General features: G+C 35.5%; 1 long non-coding RNA gene across 1 annotated transcript in view; it reads left to right on the forward strand.

The window, feature by feature from the left end:
• Window positions 1–1156: 1156 nt before the first annotated feature.
• Window positions 1157–21557, forward strand: part of LINC02338 (long intergenic non-protein coding RNA 2338) — a 43657-nt gene continuing 23256 nt past the window's right edge. Inside the window, exon 1 of the long non-coding RNA NR_120416.1 lies at window positions 1157–1237. This is a non-coding gene — a long non-coding RNA (long intergenic non-protein coding RNA 2338). The remainder of the gene's footprint in view (window positions 1238–21557) is intronic.

Below are 21557 nucleotides of genomic sequence, written 5' to 3' on the forward strand. Positions count from 1 at the left end.
CAATCCAGTGATTCTTGTGAAACAAAGAGCTTTGAACTCAGACCAAATGCACTATTTTCAAAGCTCTATTTCTCATGAATCATGAACTAGTCAGAACTATTTTAAGCTAGTTTCCATTGAATTTAGCTAATATGCATTCAGTGCCTATGATGTGCTCATCAATACCCTAAACACCATAGAGGAATACAATAAACAAAGAAAAAGACTGTCCTCAAGTTGATTGGAGAAATAAAGAGAGACATAGTAAATGTGTAATAATATGTAATATTGTAAGAATAGAATCTCAATGAGCAGTATAAAAAATAAAACCGCCCACTCCCAGAGTGATACCTCAAAACCATTATTGTTCCTAAGCTGAGTCATTGCAGGGTCAGCATTTCCAATACTCATCCAATGAGTACTCACTCCACAGAAATTTTAAGATGTTCAACATGTTGACAATTGGAAATTTTCAGATAATTTAACAAACTGGGTGTTGCGTACTTAATATTCTATTCATATGTTACTTTTTTCTTATGTAACCCAAAACTAAAATAAGATAAATGTGTTTTAGTCTTATTTTATATTTTCCAAACAAGCACATATTAATTTTTCTTTTTTCTAACATGTAGTTGCAAAACTCTCTTATTTTCTCATACAGAATGGAATATAATTTAAAATATATAAATGTAAATAATGTCACATGAAATTCTAATTCATGTCTGTGAATATGACAAAATAATAATTGTTGAGCAATGTTTCTGATTTTTTTATATAGTAAAACTGGCATTTATTAAAAAGTTGCCCAAGGTATGTTTAATTTGACAGGTTTTTATATTTCATATTTATTTTTCTGAATTCTGATCAAAAATGAGAAGTGGTATACCATCAATTAAGTTATCAAGTATAAATTTAAAGTTTATATATGTACATTTGAGCATTTGTTTTGAACTTGTAATTAAGTAGGTACATTTGACTACACAAAATTTTGGAATGCATTTGCATACAAATAAATTGACATACTTCAATTGCATTTCCATACCATGATTCATTATGTTGTTTTCTGTGAAATTTACTCTAATCTCCCAACTACAGTATTTATAAGCAGTGTGTCAGCCTCTCACCAGCAGTGAGTGTCGCCAAGGCAGCGCTTTTGTTGTCATGGCAGTGATGGATCATCAATGTTCGGTAGCAGACCTGTAATTTGCAAATTGAATGACAGGCAGCATTGAAAATGCACTGCAGTGGCCTTTTCTAGGTAAGTTGGAAGCTTGTGGTATGAGAGTTCTCTCTCTTTAAGTCGTGTTTTATTTTAGTCTTCACACCAGTTTGACATTTAGATTCAGAGAGTATAAATGAGATATTTAGGTTTTGAACTTAAAATAAATTCTTTGTGTAATAGAGCAGTAAATATTTTACTTTTTCAAAGGATGCTAAAACTCATTTAATCAGGTTACAGTTTTGTGCTCATCTTTCCCCAGTGCAAGCCTTGGTCTCTTCCAGTTGAAATCTGTATCGTTATCTTTCTGTGTTTGATATATATGAAGGATTGAACAAAAGAAGAGAAAGAAAAAAAAAACAGCATCTCTTAAGAAGTAGCATCTATTTTTGTCATTACCGTTCTTTTTCATAGGCAAAGTCAATTATTCTCTAGCCTGGAATTCAGCTTTGCTCTATTCTGTGACTATTCAGCTGTCAAGATAACAGCATTCAAGGTACAATGTCCTCATGAATCTTCTACTGACCAAATAGCCTAACTAAATCTCTCTTCTCTAAACTTCTGCAATGTTTCTAATATTAAACTATAGGTTAATAAAGTGTAGGATCCATAACTGTTTTTCCCAGTGGGGAAATTTCGTAGCAAATACATAGTTACCATTCATTAAATGTGTGTTGTATCATTAATTAAATAAAATCCAAATTACCATTATTGTTACATTATCAAACTACTGGTTGAACTTAATCATGCATATTTAGCTATTTAATTTTCTCATGCATGTGCCTTCCTCAAATAGATGGTGAGTCACCACGAGTGAGGAGAACTTTTCTATACATATATGCATTATGTATAGCAAATTAAATATCCTATATTTAGTATATTTCCTAGAGTCTCCACAGTGCTACAAATACATAGCAGAATAGATACTACATAGCTGATGCATGGTAAATACTTAATAATAAAAATAGTTGCTTACACTGTTATAAAACATTAACAAACAAAAGAAATCATGTAATAAAAGAAAACATTAATTCTAAACTGCTACATTAATTTGCATTGGCAAAACATGATATACCCCCAAGCAGCTTCTCTGATTTGACAGATTTGTCCCTGATTTGAGTGGAACATTTCTGTAAAGTAGGACGTGTGAGTCCTATTTTAAGTTGCTTTGTCATAGACCCTGGAGCAGTCATAATTTTTAGTTACTCTAGTTTCTCCAGCTCTAAATGCAAGTAGCAATTCCTGTCATCTGTACAACTTATAGCCATGCAATGATCTTAATATACTGAATCTTGTTAGCTAAGACCTTAGGTGTTGCCAGAAGTCATTCAGCATTTACAGGACAACAGCTTTGTGTCATTTTCTGTTAGGGTCCTTGACTGAGAAGTTAGCATAAGCTAACCTACCACTCATTTACTCGTTCAACTAATAAATATTGAGTACCATTGCTTGACCTGCTGTGGAAACAAATGACTCTAACATAATTCTAGTAGGTAATATATTGTAGGTACATAAAACATGCAATAAATGCACAGAGGAAGGAGCTACACAATTCTTTTGGGGGAAATTACTGGGGATACTGTAACCATGGTATATTCCTGTTTCAGAAAAGCATTATAACTGTATTCATGATGGGTTGGTTGTAATCTTGTGGAACGTAAATTGGATAATAACAGAGAAAGGGAAATTGAGACCTGGTTTAACACCCTCATGTAAAGAAGTAGCCAGTGTCAATCTCCAGCAGGTTACTACAGGGATCTATGCTTGTCTCTGGTTTATTATTTTTTATTTTTTAATTAGTGGGAAAAAAGTGTGCTTATTAAATTTGTAGGTGACACAAACCTAGGGAATATTACAAATATTGTTGGGACAGAATCAACACTAAACATCCCCCTAAAAGCCTAAAACAATAGGCCAAAATCAACAAAATGAAATTTAACAGAGATAAATATGATGCCCTGCAGTGCCAAAAAAGGAAAAAAAAAAAAAAAAGAAAAAGAAAAACCTCAACTCAAATAAATATAGGATTGAAAATATCTGACTGAAATATTTGCAGCTAAATCACTATGGGTGAGTTAGATGAAGAAAAGCTTAATTTGGCTCTAAGCTTTGATATGTCCCTGAAAATATTACAGACACGTTATTATCTGTACAGATGGATATATAATGCCCTGGACAAGGGATAGAGTATTTATTCTCTATCCTATATTTGCATATTGTATATCTATCAAATTTACATTTGGTAAGCTACATTCTAAAAACTTCTCTGACAAATTATAGGAAGGCACTAAAGAAAGTTAAAAAGGATGAGGGAGTAATTTAGAAATCACGGTGCCTCAGTTGGTGATATGTTTCAAAACTGTGTCAATCAGAATACAATGAAAGGACCTGGGTATTTCTAACAGGAAGAAGAGAGGATTAAAGTAGAACATGACAACTTCAAAAATTTGAAAGGCTATTATGTTGCAGAGGTGATTTGTTAAGTACCATTACAAAAGACAGGATGGACGGAAGATGGAAAGAGAATTGGTTAAGATGTTGACTCAATATAAAATGCCTGAAAGATAGATTTTTATCTGTTTTATTCACTGCAGTCCCTTGGCTTTTACAACAAATCTTAGCAGGTTTAAGGAACACAACAAATATTTTTGAATACATTAATGAATGAATAGGTAGTAAAGTATAAAGTCTAATCTGTTGAAATACAGAATAAAGTTTCTCAACAGGTAGCAGATGAGATGCCTGCTAAGCATAACTAGTGTCAGAAAAAGGCAATTGAAATGATTCTACTCTACAAAAAGAAATAAAATTCCATAGAAAGGTTTGAAAATTGTTTTTATAAACTTGTCTTAAAACTAGTATTTTCAAAGTGGAAAGTCTATATGATAGTCAACAAATTTTGAATTGTAGAAAATATGAGTTAACTTAGAATGCATCAAGTTTTGACAGATTTTGGGTGTGTATGCAATTTTTTAACAAAGTTTTATAATAGCATAACATGATATTTTTCAATTCCTGTTCGACAATATTATTATAAAGAAAATCATTCTTGAGATAGTAGTACACTCCATCAATTACTACAGGTTCCTCTTTTATTTCTTTGATATTCAAGTTGTTCTCTTTGGAAATGTTCAGCATGTCATAAATATTTTATGATTTAACTTCAAAATTGATTGGCTTAAATAGCCAGATGCTCATTTGTAAAGATTTTGCATGCAATTCAAACATTCTTCATCACATCATTGTTTTTGTATAAAATCCTACCTCTTTTGAAATATTTGAATTGAATTTTGCGTCAATTTCCACTGTATTCCACACTATGATCTATGCATATACCATTTGACAACAAGAAACTTAGTTTGATACAGAGGTTACATTATGCTGAAAACGTTTGGTTGGTTGGAGAAAATTTTATATGTGTAAGTGATGTAAAAAGTGATTAGTTATATATAATATGCAAATATTATATGCAATATATATTATTTGCATATATATGCAATTATATATTATTTGCAATATATATGCAAATAATGTATTTTATGGTGCTATGATCAATTTTACTTCCCTGCACAACTTTAGATTGAAGGAACACAAAAAATATTTGCAAAGGGAGAATGTGATTCCCTCTCTTAAGATTAAAGCTAGTTAATCATTAATCAGGAGGAAATATTTGTATTCAGTGGGATTTTTAACTTAATTATATATAATATTCTTTCAAACTTTAAGTTTGACCTTAAAATATACACATACATGCCATTTTTAAGGCAGTCTTACCACTTGATCCTAGTATAGTTTGTTGTATGACATGAACATCTATTAATTTACAGTTATCCAGTTACTTCCATTATGTTAGAGTTAATCTACCATGTTTAAATAGTTTTATATTCTGATTCTGATACAGAACTTATTAGCTACACCTATCAAATTTATGCCATTAAAATTCTGGGCAAGTAAGACTAAAGACAAAATTTATTAAACCCATTTGGAAATGTTCCTGCTAACTTATATCAATCTACATTTAAAACCAGAAAGTTTTACAATGACTTCTTGATACATCTCTGCATTCTTCTTGAAAACCATGAAGAGAGATTTTGGTATACAACTTAATCCAATTGTGATGCACTGTTTAACTTAGGATTTTTTAAAGGGTGAATTGGCTTCTCTTCTGTGTAAATATATGCCACTTGCTAATGGTCAATGTTTTTATTTCTAAGATGTACAAATTATCTATTGAACCGTCTATGCTAGAAACTTTAGTTTCTTACATGGAGAAACATTTGCTAGTCTTTCATTTTTCACTGATTGTCTTATTCTTCCTAGTTTCACAAATGTTGTCAACACTGGTTTTGCAGCACTTTTGCAAATTCTCCCAACTCCTTCTACGTACTTCAACTGGGCTCAGTGATTTGAATTTATACAGATAAGCTAAATTACCCTTGCTATATCTTCATTTATATTATGTTTCTATTCTCTTTCAACAATCTTCTCTATGCTCTCCACATCATTTTTTGATGGATAAAAGTGAAATATAAATTAGAAGCTTTGTTTTAGCTCATGAATTCCAGTTATCTATCACAAGTGAAGGATCATGTGTTTACATACAATATATGATATGTTAGCATATGTGTTAGGATATGTGCTAATATATCCAGAAAAAAAATACTTTAAAAATTTTCTTTATTGTTTTACAGAAGTCTAAACAGCTCTGGACCAGTAACTGCTTTTTTTCTCTTGTTTTAAATACTAAGTTTTTGGCTTCTTAAAGTCAAAATCCAAATCTATATACATCGTATCATCTGGCATGTAAACTACATTTGGTTATGTCAGTTGAAGAAAAAATGAAAAATGAATTAATTAATGTTACAGGGTAATTTGTTAAAAATAAAAGCTAATAAGTATAGTCAGGTAGTAATCTTTATCCCAGTTTAAAATTAGGACTGGTAAAGCAGTTGTCATTCTCCTCTGTTATAAACACTTTGGCTGCTTAATGGGATGAATACTAATAGGCAATTATCTCAAAGAACTGGAAATTAGAAGTAGCTAGGAGAAAAGTATTGAACTCTTTCCAGAGTTTTTATTCATCTCCCATTTGGGTGGTTTTTTTGTGGTTATTTGTTTTCTTATTTTAATTTTTGTATTGGGGAGATGATTCCTCTAGAATGAACGACTGAGGACCAGAGGAGAGAAGGTGACTTGACTCTTTTCAACTCGAAGGAAATTTCTAATGAGGTCCTGCAGTCTTTGTTTCCTTTACATAGGATACGATTCAGAATGTTGATGCCTTTTGCCATTATTCACATACAGGGATAATAATAATAGAATTAGCTATTGTTTGTGGGACACCTATGTTTCAGACATAATGACTATCTTTAACAGCTACTATGTATATACAAAAAAGGTTAATATTTTCTTCATTTTATAAATTAAAAAAAGAAATATTAGAGAAATTAAGTAACATGAAACCATCTTCCAATTATGAAATGCCAGAATCAGTATTTTTATCAGGTCAGGTTTCAAAACCTGTTTTTTCCGCTACAGCACATTGTCCTTCTAAGCCTCCAGTGCTAAGATTTAAATAAAAATTGAACTACCCCTGGGTAAATTTTGGAAGCAAAGGCAGTTCTCCTCTTACACCGTGACTTTCCACATATTTTCTAGGACTTACTATTTAAGAACTGAATTGAATTGATCGCCTCTATCAGGAAACTTGCTGCTACTTTATATGAATTCGCTGTATGTTAGGACTAATATGTTTATTTTTGTGGAGTATCAAGACATTCCCGTTTGAAAAAGACATAACTTTAAACATTTTATTTATTACTGTTGGCAGTCAGACCTGTAGCCAACTGCCTGTGCTGTCTTTTTGTTTCATTTATAATACGACAGAAAGGACAATGGGGCGCCTGGGCAGGCTCCCACATTTCAGGCTTCTGTTCTGTGCACAGCTTTTCTATTGCCATTTTGGAGAAAGAAAGGGACCTATGAAAATAGTTGTGACAGCAGATGTGATTTTCATGTGGTGCCAGCATTTTTTTTTCCTTCGTAGAGTTAAGTAATATCCGAAGTTGGTACTAAAAATACAAAGAGTATTGTGCCAATATAGAATGCACCATTCCTAAAATTCCTTCACTTCTATTGCAAAAGGAGCTTTTTAGAATTAGAATTAAAAAACAAAACACATTTGAGTAGAAAACAATATTTGCATCTATAGCAAACTGAGTGAAAATTTCATTCCAAAAGAGAATGCTGTAAACAGAGCACAGCAGTTCCCCTGTTATATGTGGTTTTACTTTTCCTGATTTCATTTACCCATGATCAACCAGAGTCTGAAAATATTACAAACAATAAGATATTTTGAGAGGGACCACATTCATATTTTTATTACAGTTATTGTTATACATGTTCTATTTTATTATAAGTTATTGTTAATCTCTTAATGTGCCTAATTTATAAATTAAACTTAACCATAGGTAGCTATGTAGAGAAAAATCATAGTATTTATAGGTTTTGGTACTATTTGTGATTTGGTATTAACTTGGGGGTCTTGGGACATATCCTTTGTAGATATGGAAACTATTGTAATCATTTATGACTTCATTCTCAGTGTATCTTTTTCTTCTTGGCCACAAGGAAAATTTCTACCAGGTTGGTTTTGGTTTCTTTCGATTCAGAATCATTTATTGGACATATTATATAAAAGTCACTCTGCTGAAAGTGGTGAGGATTAAGACTCAGATGGTAACACACCCACCTCTCAAAGAAGGACACAGTTTATGTTGTAAAATAGAACTTGAATATCCATATTATACGGCAGTACGTACAATGCATTATAATACAAGTTCATCTCTCAAGGAGCACCTTGGATAGAGAATTGAGAGGACTTTGTTTTTAAAATGTATTCTTTGAAGTATGGGTGAAATTTAACCAGCATAAGAATATAGAGCTGGGAAAAGTTACAAATACATTTATATATAGGGGATGGGGCGAGAAAACTAGTTGAATACTTTGGCGGCTAAGAAAAAACGTGAGAGAGGAGTGAACAGAAGATGAAATTGGAAGAATGAGTTTGTACTACTGCAGACAAGTTTGAATGTCAGGCTGAATTGTTTCTTATTTAATAATTAATAGATATTAAATATTTCGCAACAGGTTACATAATTATGCTGTATTTGAGGAAATACCAATAATAACTAACCCGGCAGTCGAGCAATCCAATTAAGAAGGTAAACCTTTAGGCCATTTTACCTCTGTTCATATATTCACTCTCCTACCTGGTAGCTGTGTAATCTGGGGAAATTGCTATTTCTTTTCATTTCCTTTTCTGTGTTTTATAAAATTAAGAGGATAATAATTATATACCTATCTCACAGTACTGTTGTGAGAACCAAATGTGATAATATATGAAAAGAATTAACACAGGATTAGACACAGACAAAGTACTCCAAAAAAGTTGGCTGCAATTGCTACCTTGTATGTAATGCTTTACTAGGGTTTCTAAATATATTTAAGTAATGTGAATGGGAGCTATTTAGGAAGGAGTTGAGGCATGGGAGGAGTTAACTGAAAAGGTCTAAGGTAACTCAAAAGGAAGACATACACAGTGAAATCAGATCAGAGGGGTTATGGCCAAGGTAGCTGAGGCTGCCCTGAAAGACCACCCAGTTCAGTAGATGTGATGCAGTCAAGGCTGAATCCAATGAATTGATGCCTCTTAGAATGCACAGAAGATCAGTTAGTGGGATGTGTGTTGAGTGCAAGATAGTGAGTTCATTTTCACTATCAGTGACAAATTTACAATGTCCACATTACACTGTAGTTTCTGGTTTCAAAGTTTTCATACAACAAAATGTTTTATATAAGCTGTCTTAGAAAAATAATTTCCAATTTGAATTTCATCTATCTCTCTTCATGTAGTACTGTCACTATTTTATTTGGAAGTAACAATAAATGAGTAAGATGTGTTAGATTGTATGGCAGAGAATAAAATGGAAAGAAAGAATAGATACCCTTGCAACTGGAAAATGTGAATTAAAAGCAATAATTAATAGAAAAACAAAAGGAAAGGACAGAAATAGTAATTTTAAATTGGCAATAGTATTTGGTACTATTGATTTTGAACATTTGTGCATTGCTATGAAAATTTTGATATCAACTTATGTACTTTATTCAATACGATCCTTACCAAAATACTATGAGATAGGCCATATACATTTCGGGGACAGAAGGTATCCAATAAACTACATTCTTGATCCCTGCCAATATTTGGGAAAAAGTGAGAGATGGACACAGAAATGAGACAGATTTCATTCATTCATTCAACAAATATTTATTTAGCTCCTACTCATACTTGACTTTCTTGAAGACACATGTCATAAGCCAGTGAATAAAACAAAAATCTCTATGTAATGAAACTTATAGCCAAAAGATGGGAGAATAATGTCACATGTGACAGACATGGACATGTACCATTCAAAACCTACTGTAAGACAAAACAAGCAGGGTGCAGTGGCTCACGCCTATGATCCCAACACTTTGGGAGGCTGAGGCTGGCAGATCACTTGAGGCTAGGAGTTTGAGACCAGCCTGGCCAACGTGAAAAAACTCCATCTCTACTAAAAATACAAAAATTAGCCAGGGGTGGTGGCACAGGCCTGTAATCCCAGCTACTGGGGAGGCTGAGGTAGGAGAATCACTTGAACCCAGGAGGAGGAGGTTGCCGTGAGCTGAGATCATGCCACTGCACTCCAGCCTGGGTGAATGAGTGAGACCGTCTCAAAAAAAACAAACAAACAAAAAAAGGAACATTCTGCATACACATTGCCCAACTATTAGAACTATGGTTATATGGCAATACCTGGCTTTAACTTATTCAGGCCTGGGTATGCTTCAGCTTTGAAGCCAAGTTCACACTCTGCAGAGCAGACCTCGGTCATTGCCTAAGAAAAGACCTAGCCATTTCTGCCCAATGTATGACTTCTCTAATGGACTCACTTTGGGTTTTCAGAGACTGTCTCTTCGATATACTGGTTTCCTTTCTTTGAGAATACACCTAGGAATAGGATTGCTGGATCATGTAGTAGTTCTATTTTTAGTTTTTTGAGGAGCCTCCCAACTGTTCTTCAGAGTGGTTGTACTAATTTGCATTCCCACCAACAGTGTTCAAGGATTCCCTTTTCTCCACAGCCTCTCCAGCATTTGTCATTGCATGTCTCTTGGATAAAAGCAATTTTAACTGGGGTGAGATGATATCTCATAGTTTTGATTTTCACTTTGATGGTTAATATTGTTGAGTACCTTTTCATATACCTGTTTTCCATTTGTATGTCTTTTGATAAATATCTATTAAGATATTTTGCCCATTTTTAAATTGGATTATTAAATTTTTTTTTCTTGTAGAGTTGTTTGAGCTCCTTATATATTCTGGTTATTATTCCCTTGTCAGACAGGTAGTTTGCAAATATTTTCTCCCATTTTGTGGGTTGTCTTTTCTCTCTGTTGATTGTTTCCACTGTTGTGCAGAAGCTTCTTAATTTGATATGATCCCATTTGCCCACTTTTGCTTTGATTGCCTGTGTTTTTGGGGTATTATTCAAGAACTCTTTGCCCTCCAATGTCCTGGAGAGCTTCTCCAATGCTTTCTTTTAGTAGTTGCATAGTTTGGGGTCTTAGATTTAAGTTGTGAATCCATTTTTACTTGATTTTTGTATGTGGTGAGAGATAGAAGTCTAGTTTCATTCTTCTGCATATGGATATCTTGTTTTCTCAACACCGTTTATTGAAGAGACTCTCCTTTCTCCAATGTATGTTCTTGACACTCTTGTTGAAAATGAATTCACTGTGCATGTATAGATTTATTCTACTCCATTGGTCTATGTTTCTGTTTTTATGCCAGTACCATGCTGTTTTGGTTACTGTAGCTCTGTAATTTGAAATCAAGTAATGTGATTCCTCCAGTTTTGTTCTTTTTGCTCAGGATAGCTTTGGCTCCTCTGAGTATTTTATCATTCTACATAAATTTTAAGATTATTTTCCTATTTTTGTGAAGAATGTCATTGGTATTTCAATAACAATTGCACTGAATCTGTAGATTGCTTTAGGTAATATGGACACTTTAACAATATTGATCCAATTCATGAATATGGAATATCTTTCCATTTTCTGTGTGTCCTCATCAGCTTCTTTTATCGAGTATTTTACTGTTTTCATTGTAGAGATCTTTCATTTCTTTGGTTAAGTTTATTCCTACATATTTTATTTTATTTGTAGTGATTATAGATGGGATTATTTTCTTGACTTCTTTTTCAGATTGTTCACTGTCGACATGTAAAATTGCTACTGTTTTTTGTAATTTGAGTTTGTGTCCTGCAAGTTTACTGAATTTGTTTAACAGTTCTAACAGCTTTTTGGTGGTGTCTTTAGTTTTTTCAAATATAAGGTCATGTCATCTGCAAACAAGGATAATGTGACTTTTCTTTTCCAGTTTGGATGTCCTTTATTCTTTTCACTTGCCTGATTGCTCCAGCTAGCACTTCTAGTACTATGTTGAATAACAGTGGAAAGTGGGCATCCTTGTGTTCCAGATCATAGAGGAAATGCTTTCCATCTTTGTCATTCAATGTAATATTAGCTGTGGGTCTGTTGTATATGGCTTTTATTTGCTGAGGTATGTTCTTTCTGTACCAGATTTTCTGAGGTTTTCATCATGAGGGGATGCTGAATTATATCAAATGTTGTCTTAGAATCAATTAAAATGATAATACAGTTATTGTCTTTCATTCTGTTGATATGATGTATCACGTTGATGGATTTGCATATGTTGACTCATCTTTGAATGCCTGGGATAAATCCTGCTTGGTCATAATGAATGATGTTTTTAATGTGTTCTTGAACTCGGTTTGCTAGTATTTTGATGAGAATTTTTGCATCAATGTTCATCAGGGATTCTGCACAGTAGAATCTTTCTTTCTTTCTTTCTTTCTTTCTTTCTTTCTTTCTTTCTTTCTTTCCTTTCTTTCTCTCTCTCTCTCTCTCTCTCTCTCTCTTTCTTTCTTTCTTTCTTTCTTTCTTTCTTTCTTTCTTTCTTTCTTTCTTTCTTTCTGACTTTGTTTGGTTTTTGTGTCAGGGTGATACTGGCCTCATAGAATGGATTTGGAAATATTCCCTCATCCTCTATTTTTCAGACTAGTTTGAGTAAGATTGGTATTACTTCTTGAAAAGTTTGGTAAATTTTGCTAAATAAGCCTTCAGGTACTGGGATTTTCTTTGCTAGGAGACTTTATTTTCTGGCTTCAATCTCAGTTCTTGCTGTTGATCTGTTCAGGTTTTAGATGTCTTCATTGTTCAATTCTAAGAGGTTGCATTGTCTAGGAATGTATCCCTTTTTTCTACAGTTTCCACTTTATTGGCATATAGTTGCTCGTAGTAGCCTCTAATAATCCTTTGAATTTCTGCAGTATTGGTTGTAATGTCTCCTTTTTCATCTCTGATTTTATTTATTTGGGACTTCTCTCTTTCTGTGTTTCTAAAGGTTTGATGATTTTATTTATCTTTTCAAAAAAAGCCACTTTTCCTTTTGTTGATTGTTTATATTTTTATTTCAGTTTCCTTTATTCATGCTCTGAGCTTTTTTATTTCTTTTCTTCTACTAATTCTGAGTTAGTTTTGCTCCTGCTTTTCTAGTTTATTAATATTCTTTGTTATGTTGTTTACTTGAAGTTTTTTTCTACTTTTTTGATGTAAGTGCTTACTGCCATTAACTTTCTCCTTAGAACAGCTTTTGCTATATCCCATATGTTTTGGTATGTTACCTTTCCATTATCATTTGTTTCAAGAAATTTTTTAATTTCCTTCTTATTTTCTTCATTAACCCACTACCTATTCAGTACATATTGTTTAATTTTCATGTGTTTGCATTTTCCAAAATTCCTCTTATTGATTTCTAGTTTTATTCCGTTGTGGTAAGAGGAATTACTTGAAATACTTTTAATTTTTTGAATACAGTAAGGCCTGTTTTGTGGTCTTACATATGGGCTATCCTTGAGAATGATCCATGTTGTGAGGAGAAGAATGTGTATTCTGCAGCTGTTGGATGACACGTTCTGTAAATATCTACTAGGTCTATTTGGTCTATTGTACAGATTAAATCCAATGTTTCTTTGTTGATTTTCTGTCTGGAAGCTCTGTCCAATGCTGAAAGTGGGATGTTGAAGTCTCCAGCTATTATTGTATTAGAGTCTATCTCTCTCTTTAGCTCTAATAATATTTGATATATATCTGGGTGCTCCAGTGTTGGGTGCACATATATTTGCAAATTGTTATATCCTCTTGCTGAATTGACCCCTTTATCAGTATATCATGACCTTGTCTCTTTTTATAATTTTTTTCTTGAAATATATTTTGTCTGATTTAAGTATAGCTTTCCTGTTCTTTTCTAGTTTCCATTTGCATGAAATATATTTTTCCATCCCTTTATTTTCAGGCTATGTGTGTCTTTATAGGTGAGGTATGTTTCTTATAGGCAACAGATTATTGGATTATTTAAAAAAATATTCAACCACTCTATGTCTTCTGCTTGGGGGATTTAGTTCATTTACATTCCATATTACTATTAAGGACTTACTTCTGCCATTTTCTTATTTGTTTTCTGGTTGTTTTGTGGTTTTCCTTCTTTCATTCCTTCCTGTTCCTGTTACTGAGGGTGATTTTCTCGGGTTCTGTGTTTTAATTTATTGTTTTTAATTTTTTGTATATCTGTTGTGGTTTTGGATTTGAATTTACCATGAGGCTTGCAAATAACGTCTTATAATCTATTGTTTTAAACCGAAGACAACACTGATTGCATAAACAAAGAGAAAACTATTAAAAACTCTCTACACTTTAAGTTTATTCCCCTGCTTTTTAACTTTTTGTTGTTTCTATTTATCTTATTATATATACTATGTCTTGAAAAGTTATAGTTATTATTTTTGATATGTTCATTTTTTAGTCTTTCTACTCAAAGTATGAGTAGTTTATACACTATCATTACAGTGTTCTAATATTGTGTTTTTCCATGTACTTACTATCACCAGAAAGTTGTATAACTTCAGATAATTTCTTATTGCTCATTAATGTCCTTTTTCTTCAGGTTGAAGAACTCCCTGTAACATTTCTTGTAGGACAGGTCTGGTGTTAACAATATCCCTCAGCTTTGGTTTGTCTTGGAAAGTCTTTATTTCTCTTTCATGTTTGAGGGAATTTTTGGCTGGTTATACTATCCCAGGATAAAAGCTTTTTTGTTTGTTTGTTTCCCTTCAGCACTTTAAATGTCTCATGCCACTCTCTCCTGGCCTGTAAGGTTTCCACTGAGAAGTCGGCTGCCAAACATATTGAAGCCTCTTCGTATGTTATTTCTTTCATTCGTCTTTCTGCTTTTAGTATCCTTTCTTTATTCTTTACTTTTAGAAGTTTGATTATTACATGTCTTGAGATAGTCTTATTTGGGTTAAATTAACTAGGTGTTCTATACCCTTCTTGTACTTGAATATTGATATCTTTCTCTAGGTTTGGAAATTTCTGTTATTTTCTTTTTGAATAAACCTTCCACCCCTATCTCTGTACTTTCTCTTTAAGGCCAATTACTCAGATTTGTTCTTTTGAGGGTATTTTCTAGACCTTGAAGGCATGTTTCATTCTTCTTTGTTCTCTTTTCTTCTGTGTCCTCTGACTGTACGTTTTCAAATAGCCTGTCTTTAAGCTCTCTAATTATTTCTTTTGCTTGTCAATTCTGCTGTTAAGAGACTCTGATGCATTCTTCGGTATGTCAGTTGCATTTTCAGCTCCAGAATTTCTGCTTTATTCTTTTCAATTATTTTGATCTCTGTTAAATTTATCTTACAGGGTTCTGAATATCTTCTCTATGTTATCTTGAATTTTATTGAGCTTCCTTAACACAGCTATTTTGAATTCTTTCTGTGAAAGGTCACATATCTCTGTCTTTGTAGGACTGGTCACTAGTGCCTTATTTACTTCATTTGTTAAGGTAATATTTTCCTGCATGGTTTTGCCTTTGTGGGTATTTGTTAATGTCTTGAGATTGAAAAGTTTGGTGTTTATTGTAGTGTTTGGAATCTGGGCTTATTTGTAGCCATCCTTCTTGGGAAGGCTTTCCAAATATTCAAAGGCACATAGGTGTTATAATCTAAGTCTTTGGTCATTGCAGCCATATCTGCATTAGGGGACACCCCAAGCTCCGTAATATTGTGACTCTTGCAGACTAGAAGAGATGTTCTTGGTTTTCCTAGGTTAGATCTGGGAGAATTCCCTTGACTACTAGGAAGAGATTCTTTTTCTTCTCCCTTACTTTTCCCCAAACAAACAGAGTCTCTCTGTCTGTATTGAGCTGCTTGGAGCTGGGCATGTGTTACATAAGCATTCCTGTGCTCACCACCACTGGGATTGTGCTGGGTCAGACCTAAGCCAACACAGCCCTGGATCTCAGAGCCTATGGTGACCACTGCCTGGCTACTGCCTATGTTCACTCAAGGCCTACAGGCTCTACAATCAGCAGGTGGTGAATCTAGCCAGGCTTCTCTCCTTCCCTTCAGGGTGGCAACTTCACGAAAATTTCAGGAAAGTCCATAGATGCCATCAAGGAGCCAGGATCTGGAGTTGGGTATTCAGGAATCTACCTGTGCTCCATTCTGCTGCAGATGAGTTGGCACCCAAGCCATAAGACAAAGATCTTCCCACACTTCCCTCCCCTTCCCACAAGCAGAGGAGTCTCTCCCCGTTGGCCACCACTGTCCCAGACACTCAGTGAGTATGGCTGCTGGCAGCTGCCAGTATTCATTCAAGGCCCAGGGGCTCTTCAGCCTGTGGTGAATGATGTTAGTCCTGAGTCTCTCCATACAGGGCAGTGAGCTCATTGAGAGCAGGTCCATAAATGCCATCCAAGAGCCAAGGCCTGGAATGGTGGACCCCAGGAGCCCACTTGGTGCTCTACTACACTGGGGCTGAGATGGCACCCAAGACTCAATACAAAATCCCCTCTACTCTTCCCTCTCCTTTCCTCTAACAGGTTCTCTCCTCATAGCCACCACAGCTGTGGATGTGCTGGCTCACACCTGAAGCCAGCATGGCTCTGAGTCTCACCTAAGGCCTGTGCTAAGTACTGCCTGGCCCCTACTGCTGATTATTCAGGGCCCAAGCTCCCTTTAGTCAGCAGGTAATGAATCCTACTAGGACTAGATTTCTATTTCAAGTCTGCCAGTTACCTTCTGGCCCAGGGTGTGTCTAGAAATGTCATTCATGACTAGGGCTTGGAATAGGGGCCTCAGGTCTCTGTCTGGTGCCCTATTTTATTGTGGCTCAGCTCATATCCAAATTGCAAAAAAAAGTCCTCTTTACTCTCTCTCTTCTCTCTTCAAACGGAGGGAAGGAACCTCGCCCGGAGCTGCAAGTTGTGCTGCCTGGGGTTTGGGGAAGGGTGATGCAAACATACCCTTGGCTGCCCCAGCTGGTGTAAGTCCCATGCACTCCAATCTGGCTCCAAGCTCAGGGCAGTACCAGGGCTTGCCCAGGAATTGCAATCCTTGTGGACTTTCAAGTCCTTTCAAGTTTATTTAGAACCCCAGAGCACTTTAATCCATGGTGGTGTAGCTTGCAAGAACTCAGGTTCCAACCACTGGGATAAGCTATTGGCTTCTGGTTAAGACTGGTCTAAATGCTTCCTCCTTGGGTGCTGGCTCAGTTCTGCCCTGTGCTGCTTTCTGCCGTGACAGGACAGCACTGAGTTCCAATGTGAAGTCGCACAATGACCATGCTCTCCCTCCCCCAAGCACACTAATCGTCTCTCTGTGCCATGGAGCCACTGCTAGGGGATGGGGCAGGGGTGTTGTAGGTGAGTCAAGACTATCTTCCCTTCCCTCTTCATTGCCTCTTTCCTTAACATGATGTTAAAACCAGGTGCTGTGATCACTCATCTGATTTTTGGTGCTTTTTCGTGTGGATAGTTGTTCAATTTGGTGTTCCTGCATGGAGAATGATCAGTGGAAGGTTCGATTTGGTCATCTTGCCCTACCTCCTAACTCCTTGTTATACTCTTAATTCTGTGATAACATCCTTTCCCTGGAGTGTTATTACAACTGTTGATAAACAGATAAAGAGCTTACTATTATTATAAGAGGAAAAGTCTATTAGTGAACGTAGCTTCAGATCTGAGGCAAAAGAGGCCTGTTCACTCTTAATCTGTGAAATATAAAGTCTTTTTTGTTGTTGCTGTTGTTGTTGTTCCTCTTTTTTTATGATTATTATACTTTAAGTTTTAGGGTACATGTGCACAACGTGCAGGTTTGTTACATATGTATACAGGTGCCATGTTGGTGTGCTGCACCCATTAACTTGTCATTTAGCATTAGGTACATCTCCTAATGCTATCCCTCCCCCCTCCGCCCACCCCACAACAGGCCCTGGGGTGTGATGTTCCCCTTCCTGTGTCCATGTGTTCTCATTGTTCAATTCCCATCTATGAGTGAGAACATGCGGTGTTTGGTTTTTTGTCCTTGCGATAGTTTGCTAAGAATGATGGTTGCCAGCTTCATCCATGTCCCTACAAGGGATATGAACTCATCATTTTTTATGGCTGCATAGTATTCCATGGTGTACATGTGCCACATTTTCTTAATCCAGTCTATCATTGATGGACACTTGGGTTGGTTCCAAATCTTTGCTATTGTGAATAGTGCCACGATAAACATACGTGTGCATGTGTCTTTATAGCAGCAAGATTTATATTCCTTTGGGTATATACCCAGTAATGGGATGGCTGGGTCAAATGGTATTTCTAGTTCTAGATCCCTGAGGAATCGCCTCACTGACTTCCACAATGGTTGAAATAGTTTACAGTCCCACCAACAGTGTAAAAGTGTTCCTATTTCTCCACATCCTCTCCAGCACCTGCTGTTTCCTGACTTTTTAATGATTGCCATTCTAACTGGTGTGAGATGGTATCTCATTGTGGTTTTGATTTGCATTTCTCTGATGACCAGTGATGATGAGCATTTTTTCATGTGTTTTTTGGCTGCATAAATGTCTTCTTTTGAGAAGTGTCTGTTCATATCCTTTGCCCACTTTTTGATGGGATTGTTTTTTTCTTGTAAATTTGTTTGAGTTCATTGTAGATTCTGGATATTAGCCCTTTGTCAGATGAGTAGGTTGCGAAAATTTTCTCCCATTTTGTAGGTTTCCTGTTCACTCTGATGGTGGTTTCTTTTGCTGTGCAGAAGCTCTTTAGTTTAATTAGACCCCATTTGTCAATTTTGGCTTTTGTTTCCATTGCTTTTGGTGTTTTAGACATGAAGTCCTTTGCCCATGCCTATGTCCTGAATGGTATCACCTGGGTTTTCTTCTAGGGTTTTTATGGTTTTAGGTCTAACATGTAAGTCTTTAATCCATCTTGAATTAATTTTTGTATAAGGTGTAAGGAAGGGCAGTTTCAGCTTTCTACATATGGCTAGCCAGTTTTCCCAGCACCATTTATTAAATAGGGAATCCTTTCCCCATTGCTTGTTTTTGTCAGGTTTGTCAAAGATCAGATAGTTGTAGATATGCGGCATTATTTCTGAGGGCTCTGTTCTGTTCCATTGGTCTATATCTCTGTTTTGGTACCAGTACCATGCTGTTTTGGTTACTGTAGACTTGTAGTATAGTTTGAAGTCAGGTAGCATGATGCCTCCAGCTTTGTTCTTTTGGGTTAGGATTGACTTGGTGACACGGGCTCTTTTTTGCTTCTATATGAACTTTAAAGTAGTTTTTTCCAATTCTGTGAAGAAAGTCATTGGTAGCTTGATGGGGATGACATTGAATCTATAAATTACCTTGGGCAGTATGGCCATTTTCACGATATTTATTCTTCCTACCCATGAGCATGGAAGGTTCTTCCATTTGTTTGTATCCTCTTTTACTTCATTGAGCAGTGGTTTGTAGTTCTCCTTGAAGAGGTCTTTCACATCCCTTGTAAGTTGGATTCCTAGGTATTTTATTCTCTTTGAAGCAATTGTGAATGGGATTTCACTCATGATTTGGCTCTCTGTTTGTCTGTTATTGGTGTATAAGAATGCTTGTGATTTTTGCACATTGATTTTGTATCCTGAGACTTTGCTGAAGTTGCTTATCAGCTTAAGGAGATTTTGGGCTGAGATGATGGGGTTTTCTAGATATACAATCATGTCATCTGCAAACAGGGACAATTTGACCTCCTCTTTTCCTAATTGAATGCCCTTTATTTCCTTCTCCTGACTGATTGCCCTGGCCAGAACTTCCAACACTATGTTGAATAGGAATGGTGAGAGAGGGCCTCCCTGTCTTGTGCCAGTTTTCAAAGGGAATGCTTTCAGTTTTTATCCATTCAGTACGATATTGGCTGTGGGTTTGTCATAGGTAGCTCTTATTATTTTGAGATACATCCCATCAATACCTAATTTATTGAGAGTTTTTAGCATGAAGGGTTGTTGAATTTTGTCAAAGGCCTTTTCTGCATCTATTGAGATAATAATGTGGTTTTTGTCTTTGGTTCTGTTTATATGCTGGATTACATTTATTGATTTTCATATGTTGAACCAGCCTTGCATCCCGGGGATGAAGCCCACTTGATGATGGTGGATAAGCTTTTTGATGTGTTGCTGGATTCGGTTTGCCAGTATTTTATTGAGGATTTTTGCATCAATGTTCATCAAGGATATTGGTCTAAAATTCCCTTTTTTTGTTGTGTCTCTGCCAGGCTTTGGTATCAGGATGATGCTGGCCTCATAAAATGAGTTAGGGAGGATTCCCTCTTTTCCTATTGATTGGACTAGTTTCAGAAGGAAGGGTACCAGTTCCTCCTTGTACCTCTGGTAGAATTCGGCTGTGAATCCATCTGATCCTGGACTTTTTTTGGTTGGTAAGATATTAATTATTGCCTCAATTTCAGAGCCTGTTATTGGTCTATACAGAGATTCAACTTCTTCCTGGTTTAGTCTTGGGAGAGTGTATGTGTGGAGGAATTAATCCATTTCTTCTAGATTTCCTAGTTTATTTGCGTAGAGGTGTTTATAGTATTCACTGATGGTAGTTTGTATTTCTATGGGATTGGTGGTGATATCCCCTTCGTCATTTTTTATTGTCTATTTGATTCTTCTCTCTTTTCTTCTTTATTAGTCTTGCTAGCGGTCTATCAATTTTGTTGATCTTTTCAAAAAACCAGCTCCTGAACTCATTGATTTTTTGAAGGGTTTTTTGTGTCTCTATTTCCTTCACTTCTGCTCTGATCTTAGTTATTTCTTGTCTTCTGCTAGCTTTTGAATGTGTTTGCTCTTGCTTCTCTAGTTCTTTTAATTGTGATGTTAGGGTGTCAATTTTTTATCTTTCCTGCTTTCTCTTGTGGGTATTTAGTGTTATAAATTTCCCTCTACACACTGTTTTGAATGTGTCCCAGAGATTCTGGTATGTTGTGTCTTTGTTCTTGTTGGTTTCAAAGAACATCTTTATTTCTGCCTTCATTTCGTTATGTACCCAGTAGTCATACAGGAGCAAGTTGTTCAGTTTCCATGTAGTTGAGCTGTTTTGAGTGAGTTTCTTAATCCTGAGTTCTAGTTTGATTGCACTGTGGTCTGAGAGAGAGTTTGTTATAATTTCTGTTCTTTTACATTTTCTGAGGAGAGCTTTACTTCCAACTATGTGGTCAATTTTGGAATAGGTGTGGTGTGGTGCTGAAAAGAATGTATATTCTGTTGATTTGGGGTGGAGAGTTCTGTAGATGTCTATTAGGTCTGCTTGGTGCAGAGCTGAGTTCAATTCCTGGATATCTTTGTGAACTTTCTGTCTCGTTGATCTGTCTAATGTTGACAGTGGGGTGTTAAACATCTTATCTACATAGTCACAGGCAATATGGAGAATTGCAGGGAGGTCTTTTAGTGTAGTATAGAGAATACACACTCTGTAGTGTATAGACTAATAAGATAAATACAACCCCAAGCTTACCACCCAGAAAAGTCACTCCTCTTTCACAGGTATCGGCGAGTAAGGCATACGGAGAGAAGAATTATTCTACTCCAGCTGAAATCTTTCCACTTGGAAACATTATGTCATGGCAAAGGAAACTGTCCATTTATAGATATAACAAGTATTACAGCTCCCATTTCAAAAATAACAAAACTAAAGTTCAGAAATGTTAAGTAACTTAACAAAGATTATACAGGAAGGACACTGTGGAGCCTGGGCTCAGACTTTTTAAATCTGAGTAAACACCTTGGAACATCTTCTATGTACTTGAATATCTTCCATGAGTATAGAATAATATAGATAGATATGGGGCATAAGATATAGTGAAGTCAGTTAGCAC

This window comes from Homo sapiens, chromosome 13 (genome assembly GCF_000001405.40).
Source record: "Homo sapiens chromosome 13, GRCh38.p14 Primary Assembly".
In the NCBI taxonomy this organism is placed as follows: domain Eukaryota; kingdom Metazoa; phylum Chordata; class Mammalia; order Primates; family Hominidae; genus Homo; species Homo sapiens.